The sequence below is a fragment of the Homo sapiens genome, chromosome 11, assembly GCF_000001405.40.
Source record: "Homo sapiens chromosome 11, GRCh38.p14 Primary Assembly".
Taxonomy (NCBI): domain Eukaryota; kingdom Metazoa; phylum Chordata; class Mammalia; order Primates; family Hominidae; genus Homo; species Homo sapiens.
Window position 1 is genome coordinate 41,296,453 of NC_000011.10, and position 13,690 is coordinate 41,310,142.

The 13,690-nt window shown below is 43.4% G+C and overlaps 1 protein-coding gene across 17 annotated transcripts in view, besides 1 other annotated feature; it reads right to left on the reverse strand.

The window, feature by feature from the left end:
* LRRC4C (leucine rich repeat containing 4C) overlaps window positions 1–13,690 on the reverse strand; it is a 1,345,454-nt gene that overhangs the window by 1,182,254 nt on the left and 149,510 nt on the right. The gene's annotated exons all lie outside the window — the stretch shown is intronic.
* Window positions 6,366–7,024: an enhancer, noted in NCBI's record as "H3K27ac-H3K4me1 hESC enhancer chr11:41324368-41325026 (GRCh37/hg19 assembly coordinates)". NCBI's record gives its function as "activates a minimal SCP1, AML or CMV promoter by ChIP-STARR-seq in primed H9 embryonic stem cells {active_cell/tissue: H9 hESC(primed)}" and the evidence as "EXISTENCE:reporter gene assay evidence [ECO:0000049][PMID:30033119]".

Consider the following 13,690-nt stretch of genomic DNA (forward strand, 5'->3'; position numbering starts at 1 on the left):
TACAGGCACTCACCACCGTACCCAGCTAATTTTTGTATTTTTAGTAGAGACGGGGTTTCACCATGTTGACCGGACCGGTCTTGAATTCCTGACCTCAGGTGATTAGCCCACCTCAGCCTCCCAGTGTGCTGGGATTACAGGCATGAGTGAATTGGGCCTATGCTGTGCTTTTTTGAGGTCCCCAAATAAGAACGAGAGCAAAATCCAAAACAACCTCTTTCACTTTGGGAACCTAGCCAAGAAACTAAAGAAAGTACATTCCTTAGCATTTTTTTTTCTTTCTTATTTCTTAAACTCTCACAACAACACGACTACTGTCTCAATCTTTATGTCCGGAAGAAAAATTACTTAAAACATTGATATAAAAAGGCTATGGTATATCTACTTTTCTTCTTATCATTTCAGTGATATTAGATAATAAAAAGTACTTCTTGAATTTGTCAATATTTTAATAAAATTCCTGAAGCTGCATACAAGCAGTGAGAAAGTCCACACTTTTCTTTTACCGGATCTTAATGGAAAAGTTTCCCATTTTATTCCATTGATTATAATGTTTGCTATGGTTTTCCCATAAATGCCCTTTATTATGTTGAGAAACTTTTCTTCTATATCAAAACGGTTGAGAGATTTTATCAAGAAAGAATCTTGGATTTTGTCAAATGTTTCTTTCTCTGTCAATTGAGATGATCATGTGGTTTTTATTTTTCATTCCATTAATGAAATGTATCACATTGATTAATTTGTGTATTTTTCAAGCAGGCATACACACCAGGAATAAACCCCACTTGGTCACAAAGTATAATCTTTTTGATGCGTTATTGGATTCGGTTTGCTAGTATTTTATTGAGAATTGTTTCCATCAATATTCATCAGAGAAATTGGTCTATGGTTTTGTTCCCTTGTGATTCTTTGTCTGGTTTAGGTATCAAGGTGATACTGGCCTTGTAAAATGTGTTTAGAAGTATTCTCTCCAGCTCTATTTTCTTGGAAGAATTTAAAAAGTATCAGTGTTTGCTAAGAATAAAAGAAATAAAGTTAATGAAGAAGAGGGTGGAACAAGTAGAAGTCACCTTAGTATTGAATAAAAACTTAGATTTTTTGGCAAAAACAAACATTTTTGATAACATATGAAATGATATCCCTGCCCTTGCTGAAGTATTTGTGCAGTATATTAACCACATTTCTACTAACGATAAATGGAAAATACTCTCTGCCTGTTTACTATATATTTCAATACACTAATAGAAGTAAAAAGTTTTACATTTTTGATACCTAAACCATGGCAAAATTTTATAAATGGATCACTTTAAAATATGTTAAGGATCCTTTTCAATATAATGATAAGAATTTAATGTATAGATAGATCAGGAAGCATATTTATCCGCAGAATCTGGTATTCAGAAATAACAGATGATTGACAGGACCCCCAAAGCTTTTATATTTCACTATTACCTTTTAATATTACTTTTAATTTTTAATAATCTAGATCAGTAATAACCCAGAGATAGCCTTGGGAAAGACACACCCTTATATCAATCAGGAGATGTATTCAGCTGCAAATAAGATAAAATCCAACTAATAGGAATACCGACAGGTAAGAAATGTGTGCGTCTTCTGCAGCAATAAATGTGGTACTAGTTATTATTGAGCTGGCACTGTAGCTCAGTAATGTTACCAGAAAGCCATGTACTTCCCATCTTCCTGCTCAGCAGTTTTTAGTTTGCAGTTCTTTATACTTGTCGCTGCCTCAGTTTGTCAACAAAATGATTGCTGGGGCTCCAGATTTCAAGTACAAATTACAGACAGAAGAAAGAGATAAAAGAAGGGAAGAAGGTCTCTCTCCTAGCAAGGCCTTGTCTTTTTTTCCCAGAAGTCATGCTCTCCTGGGACTTCTTTCAAAATCACATTAGACAGAAATGTGTCACATGGCTGTCCCTAGATGTCTGAACCCCGGAAAGTGAACTTTTTTTTTTTTTAAGCTGGATACTCACCACCTGTAAGCTAAACGCAGTCATTATTGAATTGTTAAGAAAGAAACAGAATGGATATGGGCAACAGGCAGTATCCAAGTGACCTGTAGCCATCCAAGTGATTCAGTCTCTAAACGTAGGGCCTATGAGTAATAAGGCCAAAATAAAACAACAAAATAAAACAAACACAAGAATATATATTTTTCTCTTGATTGATCATTATTTTTAACTTGAATAAATTTAAGGGGTGCAAGTGCAGTTTTTTTACATAGATACAATTTGTACTGGTGAACTCTGGGCTTTTTGTATGACTATTACCCAAATAGTGTACATTGTACCCATTAAGTAATTTCTCATCTCCCACCCACCCTTGCCCTTCCACCCTTGTGAGTCTCCAGTGACTATTGTTTTACACTCTATGTTCATTTGTGTACGTTATTCAGCTATCATTTATAAGTGAGAATGTGGTATTTGACATTCTATTTCTGAGTTGCCTCCTTTAAGATAATGGCTCCCAGTACCATCCATGTTGCTGCAAAAGACATGTTTTTATTTTTATGCCTGAATAGTATTCCATTATGTATATATACCACATTTTCTTTAATCATTATTTGATGGACAGGCTGACTCCATATCTTTGCTATCGTGAATAGTGCTGTGATAAACATAGGAATGCCAGTGTCTTTTTCATAAAAAGATTTCTGTTCCCTTGGGTATATACCTAATAGTGGGATTATTGGATCAGATAGTAGTTTTATTTTTATTTACTTGAGAAATCTTCACACTGTTTTCCACTGATTATTTTTATTCTCTCAGAACCACTTAAAAGCAGAGAAATGAGTTATAGCCGCCAACAGATTAGGAGAAAGGTAAAAACAATAATATCAAACTTTCTTATAATTGTAAACAACTTTAGCATTCTTTTTCATTAAGGTTACATTGCATCAAACCTGCGTAAATTTACTCACTTCAACAATCACAGTTGAAGCCCACTTTATTATTTTTAATTTCCTACCTACTTGAATTGCCTTAAAATGTCATAATGTCTTAGAGATTTTCTGGTAGTTTCTATATCCAGTTATCAATCTATATCCTATAGTCAAAAAGTCACCAGTTTGTTTGATCTGTTATAAATACATGAATGGGAAAATAGGATCACTAAGTTTAGGAGAGAGGGTATTTTGTAAAATAAAGTGAATTTATGATCCATCATGAATTTAGAAATATAAAAGCATTCTAAATTATGCAGTCGGGCTGAATAAAAAGTACATCTTTATTTCAAACAATAAACATTGAAATTTTCAAATAATCCAATGCTATTTATAAAGAGAAGAAAATTTTCTAGAAGCAATAAGTTTATTTTTTCTTTCAGAGACAACAAGAATTTGTTTATGAAGACTTGATAACTATTCATATATTTGAGAGGCTATTGTCTAGAAGGGAAATGAACTTATTTTACTGGACCAAAATAAACAAACTGATGGTTGATATATATAGGAAAGCACATTCTGGTTCAATTAGGTATCAGTGTTTTGACTGGATTTATATGAAAATGGAATAAGTTTTCCAAGAACATCATGAGTATACAGTCATTAGAGCAGCTTGTATATAAAGGTAGAATCAAAAATAATTTTGCTGAAATCATGGGACCATAAACAGAATTAGGTAACAGGTCAATGTAGTCACAGTGAGATTGGGATAACATTATCAGTTTGAACTCAGCATTTAGAATTTGAAGTGTCACTGGGGAAATTATTTACTAACACTTAGCAGTTTTAATTGCATGTTAAAATTTGTGAGGTACTTTGCTTTACTGGAGAGCTTCATTTGCAACATTCAGCATGAAACTTTAAGGCTGCAACTTGCCCAAGGCTTACCACACTGGAATCTTCTCCAAAATATTAAGTGACTTCACTTTAGGCTTCTATTAGTTTATTTGACTTCCTTTCCTGGGCCTACTGTGTTTTCTTTTGCTTAGGTCCTTGGAGAACTAAGGGGATTTTTTTCCTATAAATCTCAGGTTCCTCTCAGAAGGAAGAAATCAAAACTTTCTCACAGATTCTACCACAGGTCACTGAACTCTGGAACTAACGTCCTCTCTTCAATGATGTGGGAATGTCGTGTCAATCTTTATGAACAATTCCTGGCTTCTCTCTATTTCTCTTTTCTTCCCTTTCCGAGGCCACAGATCTTCAAGGGTGCAGTGCAGAGGAGAATTCTTCTTTCTTTACAAAAATCCTTTTATGTTCTCCTGACACCTTCCTCTACCTTGACATCCCCAGCTATCCAAAGCTAACCAGAACTTAACTATGTCCATTAGTCCAAAGAGTCAGCAATCATGTATCTAATTAGCAAATTTTGCTTGCACCTCTGCCCTTGAAAGCCCCAGTATATCACTGTTTCTATCCCCCTTTAACATTTCATGTAAAATACTACTTGTTACATCTTTAGCAAAATTTAATTTCCCAATCTATAATTATTTTTATGGTAGAGGCAGAGAGAGGCCTGGGAGGAAGAGGAATTTGAGGTTGTTATGAGTCATCACTGATAACAACTTAAATTTAAACAATTTGAAGTTTTAAAATTTTTGTTTGGATATTAAAACAAAATTAGAATGTAGTAAAAACCCTCTTAAATGCCGTCAAGTTAGTGGAACCACTGAATTAGCTGATTCTCTCGATTCTCTGTAAATGTGCTATGCTTATTCACAGCCCACTGTGTATTTGCTGCTGTGCTTTAGTAAGGATATGCACCTCTGCTCCTGTGAGTTGAAGTGGATGCTTGCCAAGTGCTGATTGTACTGTTTCCCAAACCTATCTACTTCTTATTGGAATTACGTCATTTACTTTAATACTAAATAAACTGATGAAACGTGTGCTGAAAAAGAAAGAATTCCCTTTCTATGAGAACCTAGTTGAATGCTTTGTAAAGTTTTGATGTTAGTGAGTTGCTAAAAGCTTTGTTGTCAAATTGATGGGGGTGGGAAAAACCTAAAAAGCAGAGAGAAAAATTATGAAAACCAAAAGAGTTTTGTATTTAAATTGCCTTGCAAGTTTTTCTTTTTCGTAATGCTATCTCTACTTTAGAGAAACTGAAAAGATAATTAAATATTATAATATAACAATGGTCTATGCAAGCACAGTGACTCAGAACTCCTAAGTGATGTAAAGAAACTCCAAGAAAGGCATGTCTCTGGAACCATAGACTAGTGACTGGATGCTATTTCTGTCAGATATTAAATAATTTTCTTATAATTCCATCTTTTTATGACTTTCATGACTTAGCTAAACAAAAACTCCCCCCAATTTCATCAGAGGAGAGAGTTTTTAATATACATATAAATCATTTAGGATAGGCTAGTTCTCCTCTGTCTTTGGTTATTTTAAGCTTACAGAAAATTTGCAAGATAAGAACGATAAACTGCCCTATATTTTTCACCCAGATTCACCATTGTTGATATCTTGACACTGTTGCTTTCCCAGTTGTTTACTGTATACTATTTACTTCCACTACTTTTACTCTATACCATTATTTTTATTTATTGACATTTGACAGTACATTGCAGATATCATGCCCTTTTACTCCTAATAATTTCAGAAAATTTAACCTTGATCCTGTAATATAATGTAATATACAATTCACCATTGCATTTCAGGAAACACTGTTAAATTCAAACAACATATATTTAAATTGGGTACAGCAGTGAGGATGACTCAAAAATTGGAAATTAGGATACAATGCCTGCCTTCTCAGAGATAAACTTTGAAATAAGCACATAATAGGTTATAACAGAAATTGACTATCACCTCAAATAGATAAATATTTGAGAGGAAATGTGGAATGGACTGTAACCTTATTGAAGTGTTAATATATCCAAGGGATACATGCATTACTCAGAAACAAGGGAGGGGAAGCTACGCAATCACAGAAGAGGCAAAGTTGAGAGAGACAGAACCTTTCAGTAGTTCTGCTTAAGCATTGTCTAATTAGGTAGTGATCTCTCAGTGGTGATACAATTTATCCAGCATTTTCATTACTATTTTTGTAGTAGGACAAATTAAACAAAGTCTGTAAGTACTTGGATCAAATACAAACTTTGTTTTCGAGTTTGATGCACATCAAATGGCACAAATCGGTAACATTTTCCGATAAATTGCCTATTAAAGAAAGAAACAAAAATAACAGAAGAGATTTCTATTCTGTTGTCAGATTAAATTTCATATTGAACTTTAAAAATGTATTCATTATTATTTTCAAAATAATATTACTTTCTCTGCTTAAAAGTCTTCAACAGTTCTTCATTGTTTTAATAATAATGCCAGATTTTGAGCCAGAGATTCTAAGTTGTTCATAATTTAGTCTTACCCTAAATTCGTGATCTAAGTCTTTGACTTGTGACCTAGAATATCACAATTGCCCACTATACTCCCAAAGCATCGTTTCATTTTCTCTTCAGTGCTGTGACCAACTCTCCTAAATCTCTGTTTGCAAAATATTATCTCTTTAAAATTAACTACCAATGACTTTCCAAGTCATAACGGAGCCTGAGGCAAAAGCAAAAATCAGCAATACTGGTCCTGTCTTTATTAAAATGTTAATATTTTGTTCATCATGTTTTTTGGTGTTTATATGGATTTTTAGAAAAATACTGCATTAGTCCCTCTCCCTCTCCCTCTCCCTCTCCCTCTCCCTCTCCCTCACCCCACGGTCTCCCTCTCATGCGGAGCCGAAGCTGGACTGTACTGCTGCCATCTCGGCTCACTGCAACCTCCCTGCCTGATTCTCCTGCCTCAGTCTACCGAATGCCTGCGATTGCAGGCACGCGCCGCCACGCCTGACTGGTTTTGGTGGAGACGGGGTTTCGCTGTGTTGGCCGGGCCGGTCTCCAGCCCCTAACCGCGAGTGATCTGCCAACCTCGGCCTCCCGAGGTGCCGGGATTGCAGACGGAGTCTCGTTCACTCAGTGCTCAATGGTGCCCAGGCTGGAGTGCAGGGGCGTGATCTCGGCTCACTACAACCTACACCTCCCAGCCGCCTGCCTTGGCCTCCCAAAGTGCCGAGATTGCAGCCTCTGCCCGGCCGCCACCCCATCTGGGAAGTGAGGAGTGTCTCTGCCTGGCCGCCCATCGTCTGGGATGTGAGGAGCCCCTCTGCCTGGCTGCCCAGTCTGGAAAGTGAGGAGCGTCTCCGCCCGGCCGCCATCCCATCTAGGAAGTGAGGAGCGCCTCTTCCCAGCCGCCATCACATCTAGGAAGTGAGGAGCGTCTCTGCCCGGCCGCCCATCGTCTGAGATGTGGGGAGCGCCTCTGCCCCGCCGCCCCATCTGGGATGTGAGGAGCGCCTCTGCCCGGCCGAGACCCCGTCTGGGAGGTGAGGAGCGTCTCTGCCCGGCCGCCCTGTCTGAGAAGTGAGGAGACCCTCTGCCTGGCAATCACCCCGTCTGAGAAGTGAGGAGCCCCTCCGCCCAGCAGCTGCCCGGTCTGAGAAGTGAGGAGCCTCTCCGCCCGGCAGCCACCCCATCTGGGAAGTGAGGAGCGTCTCCGCCCGGCAGCCACCCCGTCCGGGAGGGAGGTGGGGGGGGTCAGCCCCCCGCCCGGCCAGCCGCCCCATCCGGGAGGGAGGTGGGGGGTCAGCCCCCCGCCCAGCCAGCCACCCCGTCCGGGAGGTGAGGGGCGCCTCTGCCCGGCCGCCCCTACTGGGAAGTGAGGAGCCCCTCAGCCCGGCCAGCCGCCCCGTCCGGGAGGGAGGTGGGGGGGTCAGCCCCCCGCCTGGCCAGCCGCCCCGTCCGGGAGGGAGGTGGGGGGGTCAGCCCTCCGCCCAGCCAGCTGCCCCGTCTGGGAGGTGAGGGGCGCCTCTGCCCGGCCGCCCCTACTGGGAAGTGAGGAGCCCCTCTGCCCGGCCAGCCGCCCCGTCCGGGAGGGAGGTGGGGGGGTCAGCCCTCCGCCCGGCCAGCCGCCCTGTCCGGGAGGGAGGTGGGGGGGTCAGCCCTCCGCCCGGCCAGCCGCCCCGTCTGGGAGGTGAGGGGCGCCTCTGCCCGGCCGCCCCTACTGGGAAGTGAGGAGCCCCTCTGCCCGGCCAGCCGCCCCGTCCGGGAGGGAGGTGGGGGTATCAGCCCCCCGCCCGGCCAGCCGCCCCGTCTGGGAGGGAGGTGGGGGGGTCAGCCCCCCGCCCGGCCAGCCGCCCCGTCTGGGAGGGAGGTGGGGGGGTCAGCCCTCCGCCCAGCCAGCCGCCCCATCCGGGAGGGAGGTTGGGGGGTCAGCCCCCCGCCCGGCCAGCCACCCCGTCCGGGAGGGAGGTGGGGGTATCAGCCCCCCGCCCGGCCAGCCGCCCCGTCTGGGAGGGAGGTGGGGGGGTCAGCCCCCCGCCCGGCCAGCCGCCCCATCCGGGAGGGAGGTGGGGGGGTCAGCCCCCCGCCCGGCCAGCCGCCCCATCCGGGAGGGAGGTGGGGGTATCAGCCCTCCGCCCGGCCAGCCGCCCCATCCGGGAGGGAGGTGGGGGGGGGTCAGCCCACCTGCTGGGCCAGCCGCCCCGTCCGGGAGGTGAGGGGCGCCTCTGCCCGGCCGCCCCTACTGGGAAGTGAGGAGCCCCTCTGCCCGGCCAGCCGCCCCGTCCGGGAGGGAGGTGGGGGGGGGGTCAGCCCCCCGGCCCGGCCAGCCGCCCCGTCCGGGAGGGAGGTGGGGGGGGTCAGCCCCCCTGCCCGGCCAGCCGCCCCGTCCGGGAGGTGAGGGGCGCCTCTGCCCCGCCGCCCCTACTGGGAAGTGAGGAGCCCCTCTGCCCGGCCAGCCGCCCCGTCCGGGAGGGAGGTGGGGGGGTCAGCCCCCCGCCCGGCCAGCCGCCCTCTCCGGGAGGGAGGTGGGGGAGGGTCAGCCCCCCTGCCCGGCCAGCCGCCCCATCCGGGAGGTGAGGGGCGCCTCTGCCCGGCCGTCCCTACTGGGAAGTGAGTAGCCCCTCTGCCCGGCCACCACCCCGTCTGGGAGGTGTGCCCAACAGCTCATTGAGAACGGGCCAGGATGACAATGGCGGCTTTGTGGAATAGAAAGGCGGGAAAGGTGGGGAAAAGATTGAGAAATCGGATGGTTGCCGTGTCTGTGTAGAAAGAAGTAGACATGGGAGACTTTTCATTTTGTTCTGCACTAAGAAAAATTCCTCTGCCTTGGGATCCTGTTGATCTGTGACCTTACCCTCAACCCTGTGCTCTCTGAAACATGTGCTGTGTCCACTCAGGGTTAAATGGATTAAGGGCGGTGCAAGATGGGCTTTGTTAAACAGATGCTTGAAGGCAGCATGCTCGTTAAGAGTCATCACCAATCCCTAATCTCAAGTAACCAGGGACACAAACACTGCGGAAGGCCGCAGGGTCCTCTGCCTAGGAAAACCAGAGACCTTTGTTCACTTGTTTATCTGCTGACCTTCCCTCCACTATTGTCCCATGACCCTGCCAAATCCCCCTCTGTGAGAAACACCCAAGAATTATCAATAAAAAAATAAATTAAAAAAAAATAATAAAATAAAATAAATAAATACTAAGGGAACTCAGAGGCTGGCGGGATCCTCCGTATGCTGAACGCTGGCCCCCTGGGCCCCCTTATTTCTTTCTCTAAAAAAAAAAAAAAAAAAAGAAAGAAAAATACTGCATTAAATTACTGTTTGTTTTGATTACTGAGTTTTTTGATGCCTCATTAAATTTTTCACCTCAGTCTAGAGGCTCACTTACTTCACCCTCAAAGCTCTTTCATGAAGACATCCTGATCCTTCAAGTAAAATTTGTCTTGTCTGGATTTCCAGAGCACTTTGTTTCTCTCTCTTTTATAACATACAACGATTCTACCTTTACTATTACCACTACTAGTTCTTAAGCTCACAGAAAGCTAGTAGTATCTTTGTCTCACCTTCAGTACTTTGCACTCTAATACAGTTAATGCTGTAATACAAAGGGAAGAAGCAATGCATTTTAATGGTAAAATTGAGACTTCACTTTGTTTTCTCCCATTTAGTATCTACTCCTCTTCGAAATATTTTTGTTAAAAGGCTCTTTGGAAATGTAAAGAGTGGCAGTCTGTGAATTAGTCATTCTTTCCCTCAAGAAATACACACTGCGCATATACTACACACCATGTGCTATTCTAAGTGGAGAGTATCCTGCAGTGAATGTGTCAGACACAGTCCCTGAACTCATGGAGAATGCATGCTAAAGGGGGAAGTTCAAGAATTAAAATATGTCACTGATGGTGATGAGTAATATGAAAGAAGAAGCACAGGGTATAAGGAAGTCTATGGGGGAATTCCTTTAACCTTGGGTGGGCGGATTTGAACAAAGTTACTTAAGAAAGATAATGCTTGGAACTAGGCTCAGAAACACTCCTGTTTTGCTCCACTGTAACTTTGCATATCATGCACTTATTAAGGAAAGTTTAAGTAGTTGCTTATCTAGTACCCAATGGCTTTCTTCGAAAAATTAAGAAGACACACACAAAGAGATCAAAGAGAGAATCAAATACACAGAGATATTTTTCCATGTTTCATGTACCTTAAGTAACTAAATGGCATCCCAGACCATCAAATCTAGATAGTTGTAGTTTGAACTTTGGCTTTGTTACCAACAGTAACTACAAATGTAATTCTCTCACAATATGATATTTAAGCAGCTCAAGAGAAAAGGAATCATGCAACTTCCTAATCCTTGGAGGCTAGGGTGAGGGGATACGGCTTGGGGGAGAGACTCCTTCTGCTGAAGGGGAAAAAGTCAAAATGAAAACTTAAATAACAACTCAATTTTTTTTCTTTCAAAATGCAAGCACCAGTGATAGTTGGAGATTACATATTTTATGAGCTTAATTAAGTTTCTATTTCAAAAAAAAAAGAAGACGATTCCTCCTTCAATCTTTCACCATAACCTGTCGTTTAATAACCATGGCACGTCAGGAGCCCTATAAAAAATGCTTTCTTGTCTTCCATAGTGGAAGAAGTCAAGCCCCAGGGACCCTCCCCCTGCCATCCCTGGTGAATGAAGCAAGTCATTAAAGAGGAATTTGAATTGAGAAGCTTTTCATGAGATTTTCTGTCAAGACTTCTAAGTAGTCAGCCAATGAATGGGCCCTTACTTACAAACACAGCCTTGTTGCATGTGGGCTGAGCAAACAGACACCATTGTGGGGACAGGTGGAAAAGAAATATGAATGGACAGTGCAGTTTGCTCTGTGAAGAATCTCATTACCAAGTGACTTTGTGCATGGCCTCTGTGTCTGGGAGGGGAGCCACCCTTCCAAAAAGCCTGGGCTTTTCCCACGTGCATCTTAAAGATCAGCCACAATAGGAGACACAATTTGAGATTCTTCAGAATGGAAATGTCTTCCCCGCCTCCCTTCTTCCCTTTATTTAAAACACAATTTCATTTTAGGAGTTTAGTCATTATACCATTTTCATGGGGATTAAAAAGGTGAAGTGAAACTATGAAGATTTCCTTTTGGGGAGACTAATTTGGGGAATGGTAATGAGCAGACCTAAGAGAGACAGAGAGCTTTGTGTCTCCATCGCCCACATTCAGACTCATGTCCTTTTATAAGGATTGCATGACCCTTAGGACCTGTAGGTGACCAGCATGAGGGTATAGCCATCACTTTCAGCAGATCAGCAAATAGGCAGGAAGGAACTTTCCACAACATAGAACCTTGAATAAATAGTATTGATATAGACTAGGCTTGGGAGAAATCAGTAAAGTTGCCATCTTGTCCCTCTTTCACCAAAGGTAGCTTGCGGACTTCACACAAGTAACCTTCCAATGACAGATGTTACTTCCAAAGGTTAAAACTCTGAGGGATTGCTTTTTTTCACTCTGGAGAAAAACGCATACATTCTGGGGGCTTATGAATACCTGGTGAAAGATTTTTTTTTGCAACAGCGTGAGCACTAACAGAACAACACAGGGCTGACTATTCATTTTTTGGATACCTTTTCCTAAGCAGCTCAAAACCGGCAGTAGAACGTGACATTACCATGTAACAGGAGGCTGGCCTGATCCTGTGCTGTGTCCACCGCCAAGGTGTTTTTGTCATATCTGTCCCCTGCTGGGTGGGGACAGGGGCATCAAAAGCCTATCTACAGTCAACAAAACAAAGCACATTCTAAAGAAAGCCAAATCAGGCACAAAAAGCTTGGGCCAATATTAAAACCACAGGTATTCAAAGCGAAGAGATATTCTGATTTTTAAGATGATTACTTGGTTTTCTCTCCCAGCCCAGCTCCCCTATGCATGCTTGGGTTTTCTGAAGAGCAAAGGGCTATTAAAACAAGAAAACAAAACCTGAAAAAAAAAGTTGTTTCACAGAAGACATTGGGCCAAACGCAAACAGTGCAGGAAACCCCTGCAGATACAACGTCTCTTTTTTTCTTTTTTTTTTTTTAGACAGAGTTTTGCTCTTGTCACCCAGGCTGGAGTGCAGTGGCGCAATCTTAGCTCACTGCAACCCCCACCTCCCGGTATCAAGTGATTCTCCCGCCTCAGCCTCCCGAGTAGCTGGCGTTACAGGCATGCGTCAACACGCCCGGCTAATTTTGTATTTGTAGTAGAGATGGGGTTTCTTCATGTTGGTCAGGCTGGTCTCGAACTGCCAACCTCAGGTGATCTGCCTGCCTCAGCCTCCCAAAGTGCTGGGATTACACATCACACACCGGGGCTCCAGAGACTTGGCTGCTGCAGAACTCAGCTGGGCTGATGGTAACAGCATTTTCTGGTAGACAAGGTAGCCCCCTGTTGCTGAGTAGCAGTGGAAGATAAACGCAGCCCGCAGTGACAATGATAGTGGGGGGTGGGAGTGCTCTCTGAAGCCACATGGGTTGTGCAGTCTGGTGAACTTGAATGGGGATTGGTGTCCACTGAGGCACAGGGCTCATTCACCACAGAAAGCAGCAATTACCATCCACTAAGAAGGCTGAGGATGGTGAAGAAGATAGCAGATGTTCTGCGGTCTCTGATTTCTTTTTTTGAGCACACAGAAGACACTTCCTGAGTACTTTCGGAATTACATAGCTGCTTCTTTTGAGGTTGAGAATAGAGAAACAGGGGTTATACCCAGAATATTTCCATTTTACATCTATCAGCCATGAGATTAATTAAAACTCATGTACACAGTTCACCCTCTCTCCCACACTCCTACTGTCAAATCTGAATTGAGGTGCAGTACAAGATGACAGGGTTTCTGTGGCAACTTCATTGAAATATATAGAAATTATAAATAAAGACCAATATGTTAACTCCCCATTATAATCTTCCACAGCAGTTGTTAAAAATAAAATCCCTGCACACTTCAAAGCCTCAATTCCACGCTGAGCTCTTTCACTTTTAGCAGATGAATGCACCTAGGAAAATACAGGCCTAGCAAGCTCAGCTATTCTGCCTTTTACCATCACCCTTACAGCCTTATCTTACATGCTCTACATTTGGTAATACAATTGAACATAATTTAGTAAACGATGAAATAATTGACTAGTAGTGTAACCTTTGTGCTATCTCACTAGCGCCTCCTATCTTCAACTGCGCTTTGATGTGTTGATTTCCTATCTGCCCTTAAACCTTCCTGGCTTCTTTGTCTATACAGCACCTGTCATCCCTTTCTCTGTCTCAATGAGTTTTATTTCTCATTTCCTCCCAAGGAAAAGACTAGGGTTTCAATGACCATGATTTTAATTTGATACACTAGTATAAGCAGAAAATCCAAAGCAAG